General features: G+C 33.9%; 1 protein-coding gene across 2 annotated transcripts in view; it reads right to left on the bottom strand.

The window, feature by feature from the left end:
- Positions 1-1,362: 1,362 nt before the first annotated feature.
- Positions 1,363-21,869, bottom strand: part of ZDHHC17 (zDHHC palmitoyltransferase 17) — an 89,587-nt gene continuing 69,080 nt past the window's right edge. Inside the window, exons 11-17 of one of the 2 annotated variants that reach the window (NM_001359626.1) lie at positions 12,958-13,082; positions 12,083-12,145; positions 9,262-9,355; positions 8,385-8,468; positions 6,674-6,831; positions 5,594-5,688; positions 1,363-4,217 (exon numbers count right to left, since the gene is read on the bottom strand). In NM_001359626.1, the coding sequence (NP_001346555.1) occupies positions 4,079-4,217; positions 5,594-5,688; positions 6,674-6,831; positions 8,385-8,468; positions 9,262-9,355; positions 12,083-12,145; positions 12,958-13,082 (758 nt within the window). In that variant the 3' untranslated portion in view covers positions 1,363-4,078. The remainder of the gene's footprint in view (positions 4,218-5,593; positions 5,689-6,673; positions 6,832-8,384; positions 8,469-9,261; positions 9,356-12,082; positions 12,146-12,957; positions 13,083-21,869) is intronic. The other variant, NM_015336.4, reaches the window with a different exon arrangement.

Genomic DNA, 21,869 nt, shown 5'->3' with positions numbered 1-21,869 from the left:
ACTGAATGATATTGACTACACATTGCAAAAAAAAAAAAAAAAAAACAACAATAGTCAACTTAAAGACAAACTATCTAAAACAAACACTGGGAAAAAGAATCTTAAAAGCCAATGGAGGATCGATCAATGAGTTGGAAGACAATCTCAAGTGGCCTAACACATGTGAAATGGGAGTTTCCTGAAAGGAGGGGAGGAAAAATAATTGAAGAAAGAGTAACTGAAAATCTTCCAAATTTTGATGAAAACTGTAAACCTACAGATCCAAGCAGCAGCAGCAACAATGGGACTTTCTGATGCTTTGAATGGAAACAATCTAAAAACATTGCCATCTATTAAAAATATTTGTCAGTCCTAGTAAATGAGTGACAGTTTTAGCAAAAATTTACCTGGGTAAAACATTCATATCCAATTCAAAGGCAAGAGTTTTCTAAGAGGCATACCTGGTTTCCTTGAGTTTCTGACTTAGCTGACACAGACCAAAGAATATTCTGAATGCTCAATCTACTTTTTCTATTTTAAGTCACATAAATATATTTAATAGAAAACTCTGATAACAAGCACTTTACTTTCTGACAAGATGTTAAGATTTTCTGTCCTGGTATATACCACTTGTTTCCAATTATGTCTAAAAACTCCTAGACTCAGACATCCATATCAGGTATGATACATCAATCTAGCAAGGACTAGGAGAGATAAAAAGTAGACAATGAGGAGGAAAATACTTGGGTGGAATGAAAACTAGCGGCTTTACTTTATACAGTTGTTCAAGATATTGTTACTTGAACTCCAGACTAAAATTATGGATAGAGTATTAGTCCAATTTGAAAATATTCCTGTTTAATACCACTGGGTTCTCAAACCATTAACAACCACTGGAACAACAGGAAACAGTTCCTTAATAATTTTTGCCTTTTAAAGTCCCAAATAAAGAAGTTCTCTCTGCCACGCATATCTTCTCAAGTAACTGAGATCAACGTTTGGTAGGTTTCATTCTGCAGTATTTTTCTTTATATAGTACATTTTGCAATATTTTTCTTTAGTATCTTTAGACATATTTAAAACTTGGAGATTCATACAGTCCCTGAGGATCCTAATTAACTACATGGAATTCAAAAATTCTTAAAAAATTTATTATCTTTATTTAAAAAAAAATTACACACACACACACATGCATACACACAGGATTGGAAATTTTTTTTTTTTTTTAGAATACTAACACCATCTTTTATTTTTCCAAATTCCTACAGTCTTATGCCACTTGACTCCTAGTTAACCAGGATATAAATGTATAATCTTTTCATATCATAGGTACCACTATCATTTCATCAATTTCCTGAAGTAAATTGAGTGAAATCATAAGCACACACTTAAGAGTCAGTATTTATTCTGATTAATATTTTACAAAATTTTGACATTTAATTTATGTAAGGAGGGCTAATTTATTAAACACTTTACAGGTTTTTCTTTCCACAGAATAACACGGTAAGTAGCAAAATAATACTTGGCACAGTTATAAATAAAGAAAATATAAAATAAAAACATCCATAGCTTAAGTACAATGATGCTGTTTTACGCCCATTAATATCAAATAAATTCCTGGAAACAACAAAAATATGAATGAAAAAAAACTCCAAGGAAGTAATTCATGTTCAGTGCTGAGAATTAAGTTCCTATTTGCTAAAAGTATCCAATTAAGTTGATAAGAACTATTCCCAAAGGTTCACCATCATACACAACTTTAGAACTGGGTTTATAGTTGGTTCCACACACAGGACCTACAAAATAATTAAACAGATGGTATACTGCTGCATAGCTGGCTCCTGACCATCTGACCATTTCTGAGTTATAGATTTCACAGGTACTACAAGATGGTTACTACAAAAGCATTCACATTGCTAGTATTTTCCATGTAATTACACATCTAGAGGTTTGTCTTTTTAACTGAATGACATCTCTTTTGCACTGAAAATATTGTACCACAAACAAAGAAGATGGTAACAACATTCTTAGCCAAACTCTGAAAAAACCACCATAGTCTTTAACTGTTGATAAAAATGTATTCGATAAAAATGCAACTGAGTCTTCATGTGAAGTGGCTCAAAATACAAAAAATTAAAACAAATTCTAGCATTTTATAAATAACTTTGAATTTAAAAATTATCTAAAATTTCCCCCAATTAGTAGTCAAAACTAGCTGACATTTGTAAAGTTAACCAATTTTTACATTCTATGACAAAATGGCACAATGCTATTGCCACCCCACACCCATCTCTTCCCTTTTCAAAAATAAAGTACATATGCCAATTTTCTAATATTAAAACACATACACTAAGGGTAATCTTTTTTTGATGTGTGACTTATGGTCAAATAAGCTACTATATAAAAATGGTACTTGGAAATACTGAACATCAACTATATACATTTCACTGCTCCTCTTACTAAGGCAAGGGGCGGGTATACCACTAGATTGCTTTAATACCTGTAATCTGCATTTTACAGGGAAGACTAGTTTTACCAAGCATCAGACATGCAGTGAACTTGCAGGGTATAATGCCTATTAACAGCAATTTTGAACATCACTAGAAGCTCATTAGTTATCTCCCTTTTCTTTTTGGTTGGACAAAATGAAATGAGCAGCTTTAAAAACACTAACACAGACACAAAGAGAAAACTATTTGATAAATTATTTATATACAGATACACATTCTTTACATTGGTCTAGGATCTGTCATCAGTCTGACCACCATTCCCCCACATCTCCCACCCCATTCCCTCTCACAGATTTCCCACAGGTTGCTCGAACCACAGTTTGCTACAGCACTTAAGATGAATAAACCAAATCTCACCCTGTAAACAATATTTATGGAAGCAGTGACTAGTAGTCCACCATGAAGGTATGAAAATGCTGTGACAAAAATTGATCAGTGCATCACATTTAACAAAAAGAAAATTTTTTCTAAAACTGTTTCAGAACTTACTCAATATTGGATAAACTGAAATACTCTTGGGGATGAAATTCTACTTTCTGATAGGTCATTTTATTGAAACCAGAATATACTGTCAGCTTTTCTTTTATTCACATGTGCTATGTACTTAGATCATGCTCCATCTTTAGTTAAATGCCATTATTTTGTCTACAATTATTTTGCAGCTGAGAATTTAAAAGGAAGTATATCCATGTATCACTATTACTGAGAATTTTGCATTATTTGTTCTGCCTTTTCTTGAAAATACCACCTTAACCCTTAAAAATGGAACTGTTTTTGAACATCAAATTAAATTCTAATTTATGCTTCACTGGATAGTATCTGCTAGTATACATTCTATGTGGTGTGTCATGCAATTAGCAGGGCTTTTAAATTTGAACAAAAAAACATGACTTACTATACTCATGCAAGTGCTTCATTATCAGACCGTAAAACCTCAGAGTAAGGTTACTACAAATTATTTCACTGAACTAGAAATATATCAGCATTGCAACAGCTGATAGAAACAAAACATTGTTAGCACATTTTATTGTGAACATTATTTTCTCCTGCCTTTGAAGACAACATCACAGTAGATCCCAATCACATGATTTTCATCACAGTATTTATGTGTACATTCTGAAATGTACATAATAACTAGTCAATCAACTTAAAACAATGCTCCTGGAATTAGATGCAATACTCGTACTAGACTGCATCATAACATTTAGCCAAATAACATAAATTTAGTTTTAGTTAAAACTGAACATTTCTGATCAGTACACCATGTCTGTCAATAGAATAAGTTTACCCTTTTTTTGTGAAAAATACTGTGAGAACAAAACCCAAAAGTTGAGTATGTTGTGAATTTCCACATTAAGAACCATTAAAATTATTTTTTATCATCTTTACTCTTCCCAGAAATGGCAGTGTGTTCTGTCCATGTTTACTTTTGTTAATAAAAGTGTTGAAAAAAAGACTGTAAAATTCACCATTAGCCCTACACATAGCATGCTCTTGTTCAAAGGATGTGGATTCGAGTGTGAGAAAGACACGGACAGACACAATTTTCAGGCACCACTCAGCAATATGCTTCATAGGATAAGATGTCGCTACACCAGCTGGTACCCAGATCCTGATATTTGGTCATATTCTATTGTATACTGCCTGGTCCAGTCCACGATAACAGGACGAAAGAGGCCACAGCATCGAAATTCAAAGAAGTCTATAATATTTCTTACACATCCATGGCTAAAAACAGCACCCCAAAAAGAAAACACGTCAGTCAGTACAAATGATTTAATACATGAATTCAATATAATTTTCGTGTTAAATATATTTTTTTCTAAACTTAAAAACTCAGGTTACTTGCAAGAAGGAACCAATTCATAACTCTATAAAATATATATGCCTTCATGTTTCTCCACTGCTCTGCCAACAATGATTTTTTCTTTTGCCAATTTAAAGACTTACACAATTATATTTTAAATTTATTCAAATGTGCATATACTTTCTGTGTTATATGCATTTTTATTTTTATTTTTAGAGATGAGGTCTTAACTATGTTGCCCGGCCTGGCCTCGAACTCTGGGCTCAAGCAATCCTCTCACCTCAGCCTCCCAAGTAGCTAGGACTACAGACATGCACCAACATGCCTGGCTCCATATGTAATTTTTGATAAAAACCTTTAATTAGTGGCTCTTTGGCAGGAGACAAACTATCTCTAAAACAGAAAAAAAGTAAAAGACAAAATAATTATAAATAGCATGAATCTGGCAGTGAACCTAAGGATAACAACTTAAAAAAGAAATGTCAAGGATAAGTTCATGAAATTTTAGTACTCCAGTAACACCTTTAGAAAAGCAGTCAGTTTTGGCCAGGTGCGCACCAGTGGTTCACGTCGGTAAGTAATCCTAGCACTTTGGGAGGCCGAGGCGGGTGGATCATGAGGTCAGGAGTTCAGGACCAGCCTGGCCAAGATGGTGAAACCCCATCTCTACTAAAAATACAAAAACTAGCTGGGCGTGGTGCATGCCTGTAATCCCAGCTACTCAGGAGGCTGAGGCAGAGAAGTGCTTAAACCCAGGAGGTGGAGGTAGCAGTGAGCCGAGATCATGCCACTGCACTCCAGCCTGGGTGACAGAGCAAGACTCTGTCTAAAAAAAAGAAAAGAAAAGCAGTCAGTTTTGTGCCTTATATAATTTTTGTACCTATGGGAGAATTCTCAAAACTACCCAACTAACTCTGTTTTTATTTAAAGGTCTGCTTGCTTTCCAGAAGTATGCCATAATTGACAGCACCACAAAAGCTGAAGAGTTGGTAATAACTTCAGTAAAACTCAAAGTTTTAAATATTTCATATACTTAGGACCCTACTATTTCTAAGCACCAGACTGAATACAAATTTAAAATTAAAAAGAAAAAAATATAAGGAGATATCACAACTTTATTATATACAGTTAATGTGATGAATTCTGTTTTGTTGTTATTATGGTGAACTGATGCTATTTCTACAGAAATCTTAAAAAGGTTTAAAAGCTATTTTACATATCACTAAGTAAAAGAGTCTGGTTAGTAAGAAAATTTTTATGACCAGGTAAAATATTAAATTTATAAATATGTACATACTTGAATGGGCTTTCAATAGACGTTGTTGTGACTTTAAAGTGCTTGTATCTCCTGGCATTCATTCTTTCATTTGTAGTAATACCTAAACATGATATCTAAGAGGAAAGAAAAAGCAAACCATTATTCTTGTTTTTTTTTTTTTTTTTTGAGACAGGACCTTGCCCTGTCACCCAGGCTAAAATGCAATGGCGAATTCTCAGCTCCCTCTTGGGTGGGCTCAAGTGATTCCACCCCCGCCACCTCCCCCCACCCCAAAACCCCCACCCCACCAGCAGCTGGGATTACAGGCGCATGCACCATGCCCGGCTAATTTTCTTTTTTTTGTTGGGTTTTTTTTTTTTTTTTTTTTTTTAGAGATAGGGTTTAACCATGTTGCCCAGGCTGATCTCAAACTCCTGGGCTCAAGTGATCCGCCCACCTCGGCTTCCAAGTGCTGGGATTACAGGTGTGAGCCACCATGCCAGGCTGCACAAACCATTATTCTTTCTAAATACTTAATATAAAAAAATTAATTTGAAGAAAACTAGGATAAAGATAAAAACAATGAAGTCTGTTTTTGGTTTTCCATCAGGAGATCATCAGAACTAGTTTACGTGGTATCATTTGACTGTGAAAAGTAGCCAGTTAAATGTGGAAAATATTTAAAGACAGGTTACTTGACACTGTGCATGGACAGGCGCTATTCCTGCACAGACAACCTCCCTATCAGCCTCTCTGAGAATGAGCTTTTAAAAATTAAAAAAAGGCTTTTGAATAAATATTAGTATTTGTGAATAAAAATACCATTAAAAACACAAAATTAATGTCATCATCAATCTGAGCTCACACATACTCAACTGGATGTATTTAAGTCAGGAATAACAGATTAAAATTTCTGTTGAGATAAGTACTAAAATTCAAAAGTTCACAATATGAGAAGAGGAAGGGGCAAAAGAGTGAGGTAGAAAGGAAAACTAAATTGAAAAATAAAATGAATATTTGAAGAGCAGGAGTGGTTAGGAAGAGAATATATTATTATCTTTTATGCAAGGATGGAAGAGTTTTCACTTAGTGCACTAAAAAGAATGCCTTTGCACATACCTGGTACATCTGACACATGAGTAATACAGCCACCCACATGAAGTGGAAAACACTGTTCAGGAACATCCAAAACATCCAAGGTGAACACGTGGCAATCTGAGTAATGTATGTCCAAAATCCATCCTTGGTGTAAGTGGTCTCACAGTGGAGTCCCCAGTCTAAAGCCAGAACAGAAGTACTCGTATTTACTCAATAATCATCCAAGCACCTCATATAGGCATTTGTGCTGGCACCATTTAGAAAACATAGTCAAACAGTCTAGATTTAACTGATGACATTCAATAGCAAATGTCTTTATACTCTTAAATAACCCTATTATATCTCAGTGAAAAAACACAGAAATGGAAAAGGAGCAGCCAATCTTAAAAAAAAATCACTGTATCTTCAGAATTAACAATTTTATTTGATTGGTATTGCATCACATAATACTTAGAAAAACATTTTCTTTACACAAAGATGAGAGGATATATGAAAGAGATTTTTTTGAAAGAGGGCATATAACATAATAGGATGGTGACATGAGCTTTTTTTTCCAGACAAGGTCTCGCTCTGTCACCCAGGCTGGAGTGCAGTGGCTCAATCAAGGCTCACTGCAACCTCGACCTCCTGGACCCAAGCAATCCTCCCACCTCAGCCACCTGAGTAGCTGGGACTACAGGCATGCGCTACCACACCGGGCTAATTTTTGTATTTTTTGTAGAGATGGGGTCTCTCTTCCTACGTTGCCCAGGCTGGTCTCAAACTCCTGGCCTCAACTGGCCCACCTGCCTCTGCCTCCCAAAGTTTTGGGATTATAGGCAATGAGCCACCATGCCCAGCCAAGGTAGGCCTTTCCTAATACAAAATCTCCTGCTGTAGGAGAGTTGCTATAAAATACTGCTGTTGTTGGCAAGAAAGTATTCTCCTCAGGTGTGCTGGGCCAGAAATTAGGTCAAGTTCTTTGACCAAATCTTCCTATTAATCTTTAACTGAGGTGGTAACCTCCTTTGGTTCATTAGGGCAATAACACTGATTATTTTTACTATCTGTGGGGCAGGAAGACTAGAAAATCATCCTTCCAAGACTTGTATTTAAACGAGGATCTAATACATCTTTATGCCAAGCACCACCAAGCCCTGAGGCATCGTAAGTGACGTATCCACTTAAACTCTTTCCAGACTGCATTCTCAATGCAACAAAAATCTATCATTTCCTTTAAGGTATAAAACCCACATGATGGAATAACAACTTATTCTTAAAAAGGTAACTTCTGATATTTACTAATATTCTCTAATAGGCAATAATTATACCTTACTTTTCAAAATATTTCAAATTCTCTGCAAATTTAATTTTAAGTATATTTTCCCAACTGCTTGGTAAGAAACAGAACTAAGACAATCACTTAATCTATAAGCTACTATAGTAAAGCAAGCACATGATGTGGAAAATGTTGATGTATTTCACCCAGAAGCTTCTCAAAGCCTATTAAACCAATATGTTTTTCAGAGGACACAAGTATTAAAAGGTGGTTAACTGCTAACTGTTTGCTTACACTGTATATTGGACATAATTGATAGAGCTGTATCTTTTTTCCCTTTTGTGCTTCATAAGGTGTCCAAACCATAATTTTAGTTAAACGACCTTTGTCATTATAGTAATTTGTTAGTGTGGTAAGTATAATCTAAGTATGCAGAAATTTGTTTTAAAAAGACCGAAAACTAATTGTACTCACAAGATATACAACCATAAATCATCCAGCAGATCATAAAAAGCAAGAAGAATAGGTAGCCCATAAAATATCTATGGTTGCCTGCACCTGAAGAACGACACAGAAGCAAGGTTTTTCAGCTAAGAAAAAAACAACGGGTAATGCACCTTTGAGGGGTATGCCATGAAAGGTGTGCTACAGTTTTGATGATAATCACACATACATTCATTATTTTATAAAGTGGTTTTCAGGAAAAATGTTTTAATAAAAATCTTAAATAAGAATGCTTGCAATTACACACAAAGATATAATGATGACAATGGTGTTCAAGTCCCAAAGAACTAAATAAATCACAATTCTGACCTCTAATCCTATTCTTTGTGAGGTTTAAAATAGCCCTATTTTATCTTTACTTTTATAAACTTTACAATCCAAAGGTTTCTCTTCAACAGAGGTAAACAATCTTTGTAATGTTTCCTGTCACCTCATAAAATCTCCGGGGCATGTCTCAAACCATGTAGTTTCTCTCCTTAGACTATACCATTCTTGAACACTAATGTGTGTACTGTTCTTATCTGTCATTCCTCTCTACCTCTGCACATAATATCATTTCAAATATTACCGCCTTCATCTCTCTAGTTTAACTAGAAAAAAAAAATTTTGCCTCCTTATCAAGAGTAGGCACCAGATAGAACTGACAGAGAAAAGGTATCAGCCACTAATTTTGTAATTTTTTTCCCTCCCTCTCTCAACTGAGTTGCTGTGTTGTCAACCAGAAGATAACTGAGAAAATGAAGCGTGGAGTAATAAACTTTCTATTGCCTACTTTAATATTATACTTTATTCATTACCTAAAGTAACTTAAATGAATGATACAGAAGAAATTACTAATACAACTTACCTACACAGTTACCCACCCATGGGCAATGATGATCAAATTTTGCTATACAGCGGTTGCACACACCACAATGTTTGGACCTCACCGGTTTTCGTATCTGTTAATAGGCATGTTAAAGGATTATGAAAGGCATTATACTAAGAGAGAAAAGCTGACTATTTATTTTCTCAAAATATAATTATAAAAAAATAAAACTATATTTTTTAAACAAGATTATATCAAGGTTTCCAAATGAATGAAACCAAAAGTCACTATTGTTTAATAAAATTTCAACTGCAAAAACAAAGAATAAAAGAATGAGGCTACTCTAGAAAATATGCTCTTAAGAATGGAACTGAACCATCAATTTACAAAAGCTAAGAATTACCAATTTGATTTGATGAATGATGCTATGTTTAATTCACATCCCTCAAATTTCTGAGTAATAAAAACATATCAATCTCCAGTCTTCTAAATGATGTTCCATTATGATTAATGGTCATGATATTGGTGTTTTTCAATAAAATAAAATTATTCCTTACTAGGAAGGTCAGGCTAAAAGTGAATTTAAAAAGCTCTTAAAATTCAAAATCATCAATAAAATATTTGTCTTCCCCAAATTAACAAATCCAGCAAAAACCCATATGTACACATCTATTTCTCTTCAGTAAAGTGCCTTCTGAGATCTCAGATTAAGGTACAGCATTTCTCCTGCTGAAATGACCATATTTAAGAATGCAGAACATGCTTAAGAAGTCACTATTTCTTGCAAAAAAAAAAACCCCATATAATTCATTATTCAGCTATTGACAGGCAATAAAGAATCCATGCTTATGATGTCTGTTTTTCAAGCATTTTGAAATGGTTTTTAAAACCTACATTACTCTAAATCAGCCAAGTGAATACAAGAACTCATTGGTGATCTTCAAAGGGCTGGCAGTCCTAATGCTAGACATATGATAAAAGAGCTGCAGTTATTAACTCTTGCCAGAAAAAAATTTATAAATATACTTCAGCGTTTCAACAAAAGCACTGCCATTTCTCCATTAGTTTGCATAAAGTTACACACTATTTTGAGGTACCAAGGAAAAGGCACAGTGAATACACAGTTCTTACATCTACCAAAATTATCTGTGGAATAAAGAAAAGGGTAAGTTATTCTTCACCACAGTTGTTAGACTAAATCTACTTAGGAGAAGGCAGCAGGATATTCAAACAACTTCTATCCCCACTTCCAACCCTCAGCTGCAACACTGTCAAAAATCTGAAAAACAGACTAACTGGTTAAGGTGTGACTTGGTCTCAAGGTTCCTTGGATCACTTACAAAGTAATCCTTTCTTTTTTCTTTTTTTGAGACAGGGTTTCACTCTGTGGCCCAGGCTGGAGTGCAGGGGTGCAATCAACAAAGTAATTCGTTTTTAAGAAAGCTCTGATCTACAAGCCTTAGGGACTTGTCTACTTACCAAAGTGAAGCATACCCATATAATGACAACTACCTCTGCTGATCTGCAAGATTTTATAATAGGAAATCTTCTTTACAACAAGAAGTATGTGGCTTATAAATAATATATAATAAAACATTTATGCTATGATGACAAAATTAGTCTTATTCTTGCCATCAAATATGTATTTGACAATGAAACTGCTATCTGTATTGAATGACTATATAATTTGTTTGCCATATGGCAAGTACATCAGCACTGCATACTTTGTGGAACAGTATATTTCCACAGAACAGCAGTGTATTAAAACATTCTAAATATTAAGAAAAAGAATATCAATTTTGTAAATTACCCATTGTAAAGCACAGAAACAAAAACTGTTTTCAGAATGCCGGAATATATAAAAGAATCTGGTCGGTATCCTAAAGTTGCTACCAAACATGAAGCTGTATATATTTTGAATATTCAAAATCATAACTGGTCAAAGAATATTAAGTGTAATAAAGAATTTTCAGAATTAGAACTGTTTCAAAACTTCATTCCATAATCCTAAATGAAGTCAATGACTTTATTATTAATCAGATGCTAAGACATGAGCTCACTTGCAGTGTATAAGTATAAAAGAGCATTTAGTTTTATGTATGACTTTGGAATATTTCAATTTCCATGTAGAAAAACATAATTTAAGCACTGTGGCAGTATATATATTTTTCACAAATACTAATTATAAAAACTAAGTGAAAAATAATTTAAACATAAGAGTATTATCCTACAGAAAATTAATGTCTATAATAATAAACAATCTCAATAGTGCTATACCTGACTCTATTAATAAATACTAGTAATTTCATATATATCTTTACCTATGACCTGGATGAGGATGACCACTTTAAAAATCTATGATAAAACAGTGTTCAAAGTTACATAAACATTCTGATACAAAACAAAACAAAAAAAACCACCTACTCAAATTGAACTTGTTTAGAGGCCATGTTGTCTTAACAGTTATCTAATGGATTTTCCCATGTGGCTTTTAAATACAAGTATAAATTTTCTTAAAATGTAGTAAAGAAAACAATCTATTAGGGAATCATTATAAATCTTTGATCTGAAATACTTTATTACTTAGTTTTTAATTTATTAACATTTTAAGCGAGAAAAGAGAAAGAGAATGAATACAAATAAACGGCACCTCCGAATCAAAAGTACAGTCAAGGCCTACCATCGAGGAATAAGCGCCTTGGGAAGCAGACATCCTTTAACCATCTTTCCTCTTATACCAAGAAGCAGGGAATGTGTTCATTGAAAATAATTATTCCTTTTCCCCACACCCCATACCCGCTATGCTATGCCACTGTCAGGAGGAAGAGAAGGGAGGGAAGAACAAAGAAGAAAATACTACCAAACAGGTACTGCAGAATATACTGAGGTCCAGACTTCCTGTCTCTGCAAGTTCAACTATTGTCTGTGAATTAAAAAAATAATATTTAATTCAAAACTGAACAATGCTCACCAACTCTTTTGCCACCACTATGAATCAATAAACATGATTTTCATCTTTAATTTACTGATGTTTTGAGTTCAAAAAGAGAAATAAAATCTTTTATTTACTGCTATTTCATTGCAAGAAGAATACAGGGTAGCAATCTCTATGCTGCCCAGAAAAAAGGGGATTAGACCATAAGAATCTGCCATTGTCTTAGTCAATTGTGGACTGGAATAACTTATCAAAATTTGTCCTGTTTTTAGAGACTAAATAAAACAGCTCTTAAAATAATCTAAAATGCTTCTAGTCCAGTTCTCTAAATACACAACATTGTTAGATTATAATATTGGTTTCCTAATTACCTGCATTATAAGAAAGGGATGCCCTGGATGGTATATACAAATATTTTAGCTACTGGGATGGTGTACCTGCACTATCAACCAATTTATTAACCTTCTAGTTTACATAGTCATTCAGCAAACATCTACTGAATGCAAATTATTTCCTGGAGATTTACAGAGATGTTTAAGACACCGTATTCACCCCTCAAAGCAATCACAGCAGTCTTGTAAGGGAGAGAAACACGAAATTATAAAATGTCATGGAAGTGTTATGGACAGGCATCACAAGAGCACCAAGGATGAGCACCAAATAAAAGATACATAATCTCAATTTAGCTTAAAACTTCTTTACATTCTAAACGATAGTTAATTCCTCTGTCCTCTAATGTCTGCTGTAAATACTGATAATCTGGCAGTTAAATACAAGTGACTTAGTTGGTATTTTGCTACCTTTTTCTTTTGCTCTTCTGTTGCTTTAATAATCCCTGGATCTGATTTCCAAGATTTTCCAAAATTGTAGAAAAGTGCAACACTATTGGCAAGGAATGGAAGATGGATAAATAAAAAGTTGAGATGTGCCTAAGGTTAAGGAATCTAAAGAAGCAATGATAAATGAATTACTATTATATATAAACTTATAATCTATAAAATTTTACAAAACACCTACCAGTCAAAAAAATACAAACTGTTCTGCATTATGTTTATAACTACATGTAAAAATAATGTGACTTCTTTATAAATTTTAAATCATGCAGACTTATCTGACACTTTAAAAGTTAGTGAATATATTAAAAAGTCAATGAAAATTTTTAAATGACTAATTTTTTGACAAAAATGAAGAGATTTCTCATGTTCAAAGTTATTAACATATACTTTATGTATATGCACTGCAATCTTTAGGCATCTACCAAATATTACAGATATCATACTCGTATATTTAAAAGATTGCTTTTAACTATAGGAAAGTCAAAAAAGAAAAATTCTCACTTTTGCCTTTTTTTGAACACACTGAAATTGATTTCAGAAAAAATATAAGCTTGCTTAAAACAAATAGTTTATATGTTCACATTTTTTCTATCTCATAAAAACGTAAGAAATATACTAGGCATTTATAAACACAAGTAAATTATCAAAAAACAATTTAAATAACACTATAAAAAATACAGCAATGTCGCTAGAGCAATACATTTCTGAGACACAAAACACCAGGTATACTCAAATACCATTTGTAAGATTGTATGTAGATACAAGTATTATACAAGAATTTCATAAGACTTTTTGACATTATCATGTGTACCCACTGTTTACATTTCTCATGAAGCACAGATAGAAAAAGAACAGCTTCTTGAATGAAATCATTCTATATTTGTTTGGAAAATACCAGAACACTCAATAGCCACTTGACATACAGGAGAAACAAAAGACGGAAGAAAAGATTAGTTATTATCACCTGGCATATTCAAAAGTGACTTATCTTTTCCTTTTTTCTCCAATCCTCTCTTTTCCCCCAACTTTTTCCAATCTTATTCCACAAAATATACCGGTATAGCCAGCAGAGAGTAAATAAGAAGTCAAACTTTCAGCTGTTTATTCTGGAGAATAAAGTGTGCAGAATGCTGAGGCTTGACATTACTCAGGGGCAGCACTTTTATTTATCACAAGTTTTGAAAAGGTGCCAACGTAACATGTAAATAAATAAGTCAAACTCTCAGGACCTGGATTAAATTTGCAGGGGGTCAGCTCAATATATGACTACATATTTGAAAGGTATATTAAGGAATTAAATACTGAATGAACTTTAAAAATGTCTTTCCTTGCTCTTTAATGATAAAGAAATTAGGTATCTTCAAATGGTAGACTGAATTTAGCTTTAGCAATAGATTAGACGAGCTAATTTTAAAATTTTAACTGAAATAGGCTGGACGCAGTGGCTTACACCTGTAATCCCAGCACTTTGGGAGGCCGAGGGGGGTGGATCACCTGAGGTCAGGAATTCGAGACCAGCCTGGCCAACATGGCAAAACCCTGTCTCTACTAAAAATACAAAAATTAGCCAGGCATGGTGGTACACACCTGTAATCCCAGCTACTGAGGGGGCTGAGGCAGGAGAATTGCTTGAACCTGGGAGGCGGAGTTTCCAGTGAGCCAAGATCACGTCATGCACTCCAGCCTGGACAACAGAGTGAGACTCAGTCTCGGAAAAAAAAAAAAAAAAAATTAATGGAAATAGGCACACTCTATGAATATATGGCTGTTTTCAGTATTAATTTTATTATTAGAGAAAATGAGAAAGCACTAAAAAAAGCATAAAGACAGAAACAAGAACTCTACAACCCAGAATTAAACTTCTTTTAATTTTGGTATTCTGCATTTTTAATTATGACTGGTATCATAATGTATCTAATTATTAACAAAATAATATATTAATCACCAACTATGTGCCATTTAAGCAGCACAAGAACCCTATGATAAATCCTGCTATTATCCCCACTTTACAGATGATACGACTGAAGCAGAAGCTACACTGTCCAAGATTACAGAGTGAGTTAGAGGTAGAGCAAGTATTAAAACTCAGACTCATATGACCTATGCTATTCGGCCTCGCCAAAGTGCTCAACACAATTTCCTATGCCAATAAATATTATGGAAACAATATATTTAGGTATAAACATTTTTAAGGCTTGAGATATAAATATACACAGACACTTTTATACTATTTTCCAGCAAGATATACCAGTTTATAACCCCACTAACAACACGACTGATCAGTACATTTGCATTAGCAGTAATGAAAAAACGCTGCCAATTTAAGAGGCAAATACCTGCTATTTTATCGTTTTAATTTACATTTTTGCTTTTATGTTTAAACAGCCCCCGAATTAAAGACAAAACAAGTATTTACCATCAATGTTTTCACTTAAATGTTTATAGAATCATTTTTTACATTTAATTCTTTAATCTAGTTGGATGTTTTCTGGATGTCTGCTATGAAATGCAGCTCTCATTTTATTTTTAAACAAATTTATCTAGGCTTTCTTTCAAAAATAGAAATTCATACACTAAATTTATTTACCATAATACTCAGCAAAATGAATTAAAAACAGTAAATCAAACAAACCAAGTGCCTCTCAAAATACTGGCAACAACTTCAGAAAGGAGACAGACCACATGTATCATAAAGTTCAAAACTGAAGGCCAAAAAAGATGATGATTCTGGCGAGGCAGGCTGCCTGAGGTAGCTCCTAATCCTGCTCTACCTGTACTAGCAGTATGAAAAACTGTAGATGTGAATTCTCACCCATTTCACCCTGGCCCTTTGCTATGGACTAAATTGTGTTTCCTCACAATGCATATGTTGAATCCCTAACACCTACAATCTGACTGCATCTGGAGATGTGGTCTTTAGGAAGCAATTAAGCTTAAATTAAGTCATAAGGGTGGGAGCCTAATCCAATAGGACCGTGGCCTTCCTTATATAAAGTAGAATGAGAGATTTCTTCCTCTTTCTCCTCACCATGTGAGAACACAGCAAGAAAGTCATCATCTGCAAGCTACAAAGACTGCCCTCAGCAGAACTCAAACTTGCTGGCACCCTGATCTCAAACTACCAGCCTCCAGAACTGTGAGAAAACAAATTTCTGTTGTTAAACCACCTAGTCTCTGGTATATCATTATGGCAGCTTGAACTGACTAATACATACTCCACTCCTCAGTCCCACTCAATTGGAGAAAAATAATTGAAATGGTGAGTAGATAATTTGAACAAGTCAAGAAAATCCCTTCAGGAACATAAGTCCCTGAATACCACTGCATGGCTTCCACTAAGTATCAAGAAATACCAAGGCTTGTCATTAATAAGGTGACTTAACAAAATTGAGGGGATGGCTGGTGGGGGATAATTCTGACATCATTCTATCTCTAAGGCTGCGTAGAATAAAACCTCAGGAAAAACTTTCAGCAAGATCTTAAGACAGCTAAACCCAAGTTTCTCAGCAAGAATTTACAATTGAGCTCTCTTTTTCTTAGGCTACAGAAAAATGAATAGAAATTTAGCCAAACTGTAACACTGAAGGCAGACATACAACTTCAATATCCTTGTACCAAACAGGACAGGAAAAACTTCAAAGATTACTCTAAAATATATCAGAGAAAACATAAAAGTCTGAATATATTTGCCCAGGTCAATCACGAGCAAGATGAAAGATGAAAAGAAATGGCATAACAACTATGCTAGTGTACTTAAAAACAAAACAAAAATAATAAACCAGAAAAAATGTGCACAGCATTCACAAAGCAAATAACCCAGTATGGAAAGCAGCCGCAAATTTGGACAAAGACAAATTAAGAACAAAGGCAAATTAACCAAAGATGCTTCATAATTAAATTAAAATATAAATCCTATAAAAGCTTAAACATAAGATCATAAAACAATTAGAACCAGATGAAAAGCGTGATTCTAGAAAAAAAACAGACTGAGATCAAACAAAAACCATTATACAATATATGAACTAAAAATTTATAAAGATGAACACAAGGAGGATAAAAACACTGACAATCAGTAAATGAGGGAAAAAAGAAAACTCAAAACAATAATTAGAGACAAAAACTGGACATGGTGGCATGCACCTATAATTCCAGCTACTCAGGAGGCTAAAGCCAGAAGATCACTTAAGCCCAGCAGTTCAAGACCAGCCTGGCCAACATAGTGAGACCTCCATCTCAAAAAATAATAATAATGATAATAATAAAGAGTAGAGACAAAAGTATGAACACAGATGACAAAGATAATTCAACACATGGATAGTTTTATCCCAGAATTAATAAATACATCAAACAGAATTCAGAGATCCTAACAGAAAATTTCAGATAAAAGAAAACCTTCATTTTTATAAATTACATATAGTATACAAATATAACCTCCATTTTAAATACTGCATCCTGAAAAGACACACTGTATATTAAGAAAATCTGAGGGACAATGATTAACATCCTCTGAAACATACTGGTTGTTTTTTAATCTCAATGGTAACAAATGTGTTCTTAAGTAAAGAGTTTTTTAACAGAGACAAGGTCTCACTCTGTTGCCCAGGCCAGAGTGCAGTGGCATAATCATATCTTACTGCAGTCTTGAACTCCTAGGCTCAAAGGGTCCTACTGCCTCAACCTCCTGAGTAGCTGGGACTATAGGCACGCACCACCACACCCGGCTAATTTTTTTAGTTTTTGTAGACCCTGTCTCTACTAAAAATAGAAAATAGCCAGGTGTGGTGGCACATGCCTGTAATCCTAGCTACTTGAGAGTCTGAGGCACAAGAGCCACCTGAACCTGGGAGGCAGAGGTTGCCCTGAATCAAGATCACGCCACTGCACTCCAGCCTGGGAAACAGAGTAAAACTCTGTATCAAAAAAACACAAAAACCTGAATCATTTTAAATGTGTTGCTGAGCTGTTAGTAAGAAAACCCCATGGAGACCAGAGATGATAAATAAACAAAATCTAAAGGTAAACTGGTTCAGAAATGTAGTGTCCACTCTTCAGGATTTGCTTATTCCTATATGCTATTTGCAAGAGACATGTCGAAAATTCAAGGCCATAAATTATTTAAAGCAATACTAATTAAAATAAATAGTCATTGCTAATGCTTTTTACCATGAGTCACTACATATTGATACAAGGTTCAATTCATTAGAAAGAATTCTAAACTTACACATACTTAATAATGAAACTCCAAAATATGGACCACAAAGAGAACCTCCTAAATATAGCAACACGGTAGAAGATTTTACCATAGGTCGCTCAATAAATGATGCTGCAAACAGATAAAAATTTGGTAATGATACAGTGACTTGAGCAACCCAATTAAGAAGCTTAATCTTCTGTATGGAATGCAGCTGAGGTAGCATACAAAATGTTACTTTTTAAACTTAAATGTTTCTAATAGAAAATATCAATGAAAACTAAACAATTTAATAAGCTAAAGAAAAAACTAAACAAGCAGACAAAAGGAAACAGAACATACTGAAAGTGAAAATAGAAAGGATTAATAAAACCTAAAGTTGTTTCTTTGAAAAATCCAATAAAATAGATTAGAAAATAGCTCTAATTAATACCAGGAATGAGAGGGGGGCACAGCAGCTGAGTTTAAAAAAACAAGAGAGAATGTAGCACATTTTAAAAGAAAAGAAATGGACAAATCACTAAAATATATATATATATACAATTGAGTCAAATAAACTATATATTACAAAATTCTTTAACATAAAGCAAATTCCAGGTAAAATGATTTTACAAAATCTAATAAACATGCAGTTAATAATTTCAATTTAACCCAAACCCTTTCAAAGAACATAAAAAAAGAACAAGTCTCCACCCATTTTGAGGCTATCATGTTGATATCAAAACATAACAAAGACAATACAAAAAAATTATAAGACAATTTCATTCACAAATGTACACGCAAAACTAGTAACATATTTAATCCAGCAATGTAGAGAAAAATAAGACATTATGCCCATGTCTGTTTACTCCAGGCATGCATAAGTGGTTCAACATTAGAAAAATCTATTAATATATTATTTAATATTAAAAGCATAAAGAAAAAAACATACACAATTCACAAAAAGTTAAAAAAAAGGGGGTGTAGAGGGAGAGGTTATTTATAAAATCCAAGTAAACACTTTATAAAATCACACTCACTGGTAAAATACTAGCCCTTTAAAGTCAATCTTTTAAAGATGATACCCTTTAAAGTCAGGAACAAAATGAGGATGCTCATTCTGTGTCTATTCCACAGTGTACTGAGATCCTAGCTAATAAAATAGGATGACTAAAGGAGCTAAATGCTATAAAGAGTAGAAAGAAAAACAAAATTCAGTCTTTATACATATGATTACCCCATGTCATATATCCAAAATACCCCAAGTTATTAGAAATAATAAAAGGCTTTAGCAAGGTTGTTGTCAATAACTAATCAGCTACATTTCTATAACCCAGACACAAACAGAAATTTTAATTAAAAATAAAAAATTCATAATTTAAAAAAATTAAAATTCTTTTAAAAATAAATCTAACAAGAGATATAAACTTCTACATAAGAAATTATATGACTTCATTAAAAAACATAAAAGGTCTAAGTATCAAAAGTAGTTACTTTCTGTAAATTAATCTACAGCTCAAATAGAATTTCAATCAAAATGGCGTAAGACTGGCTGGACATGGTAGCTCATGCCTGTAATCCCAGCACTTTGGGAGGCCACAGCAGGTAGATCACTTGAGTTCAGGAGTTAAAGACCAGCTTGGACAACATGGTAAAACCCCTTTTCTACTAAAAATACAAAAATTAGCCAGGCATGGTGGTATATGCCTGTAATTCCAACTACTTAGGAGGCTGAAGTGGGAGAATTGCTTGAACCCAGGAGGTGGAGGTGGCAGTGAGTTGAGATTGCGCCAATGCACTCCAGCCTGGGCAACACAGCAAGACTGCCAAAAAAAAAAAAAAGGCCTAAGGCTTTTCGCGGAACTCAAAGAGCTTATTCTAAAAAAAAAATCTAAATGGAAGAGCAAAAGGCCAAAAAGAGCTAAGATATTCCTGAGAAATAACAAACTTGGAAAAATTACCCTGCTCCAATATAATTTAAGAACAAAACTACAGTAATTAGATTATACAGTGTTAATACAGGCAGACAGATCAATAAACCAGTGTACCTAGGAAACATGATGAACATCAAGGTTGAGACTGCAACTGAGTGAAGAAAAGGTGTGCTGGAACAAGGACCTCTCTAATGGAGGGAAAAAGATACTGATCCCTCCCCTCACATCCATCTTCATTTACAGTAGTCAAATGCACATGATTGAGAATGTAAATTATAGAATATCTTTAATAACCTCAGAGAAACTCTTGTGGGAAAAAAAGATATACAGCAATATTATTAAAATTCATGAAAAGTGGTGATTGGATAACTGAAGATAGACATTAAAAAGCTTAGAGGGTATTAAAAGGAAACTGGGAGAGATACACAGAAAACAGAGAAGTCTAACAAGTAACCTACAGAAAAAAATGCTTAAGAGGGAATGCATGGGAGATAACTAATTCTGCACATTCTTGATTTTTTAATATATGTAATCATCCCAGATTCTGCACAGTTTATATCCTTCTTGAGTTTAAAGAAGCTCAATTAACTTAAAGCCACATTGAAAAATTACTTATTTTCAGACATAAAATTTCTAATAAACTTTTGTCAATATTTCAAAAGTGTTGTCAACACAATAAGCAGTTGACTATACTATGTCAGTCAATTTTAGATTTGTTTAATTATAATAAAAGAAGCATAGTCAGAGAAAAAATTTTTAAAAATAAATAAAAATGCAAGAAACCAAATAAAATCAGTCATGAGTCCAATTCCTAGAGATAACCACTGCTAAAATGATACATATTCACTTCCAGCTCTTTTCCTTTGTGCATTTTAAACTTCATTCTGTAAATATAATTTAGTATTTTTTCACTTATTGTATCTTAAATATGAGCCCATATCATTAAGGCAGGAAAGTATTTTAGTGGTTATGTAATACCATTCCATAGGTAGCGTAACTGATAAAACTCTCACCCTATTTAGGTTGGCTATTCAGGTTGTTTTCATTTTTTCCCCTACTATAAATAATACGAAGAGAAACATCCTTGTAAATAAATCTTTGGTCTTACATCTGATTACCTACTGACACATGATTAAGAGATTAAAGGGTATTTATTTTTATTTATTATTTTTTTGAGACAGAGTCTCGCTCTGTTGCCCAGGCTGGAGTGCAGTGGCGCAATCTCGGCTCACTGCAAGCTCCGCATCCCCAGGTTCATGCCATTCTCCTGCCTCAGCCTCCCGAATAGCTGGGACTACAGGCACCCGCCACCATGCCCGGCTAATTTTTTGTATTTTTAGTAGAGACGGGGTTTCACCATGTTAGCCAGGATGGTCTCGGTCTCCTGACCTCGTGATCCGCCTGCCTCGGCCTCCCAAAGTGCTGGGATTACAGGCGTGAGCCACCATGCCCGGCCAATTAAAGGGTATTTTTAAAGATCATTCTAGAGGCTTCCAAACTGTTTTCCAGGAGGGTTTATGAACTTAAAATTATATTCAGAGTATAATATAAGGACATTTGAAGATACACTGAATCAGGCCAGAAAGCTGAATCCAACACCAAACTCTTAATAATTTCCCACCTATGTGACTTTGAGCAAGACATAACAACTTCTCAGAGCCTCAGTCTTTCCATCAGTTAGAAAATGGTATTAAGATTTGTATAGTTTTTTAAAAAAATCAAATAATTATTTGGAAAACCAAGTAAAATGATATATCTGAAAAACTATAAAC

Source organism: Homo sapiens, chromosome 12 (assembly GCF_000001405.40).
Source record: "Homo sapiens chromosome 12, GRCh38.p14 Primary Assembly".
In the NCBI taxonomy this organism is placed as follows: domain Eukaryota; kingdom Metazoa; phylum Chordata; class Mammalia; order Primates; family Hominidae; genus Homo; species Homo sapiens.
The sequence above is the reverse complement of the archived record's forward strand: the minus strand, read 5'-3'. Positions and strand labels throughout refer to the sequence as shown.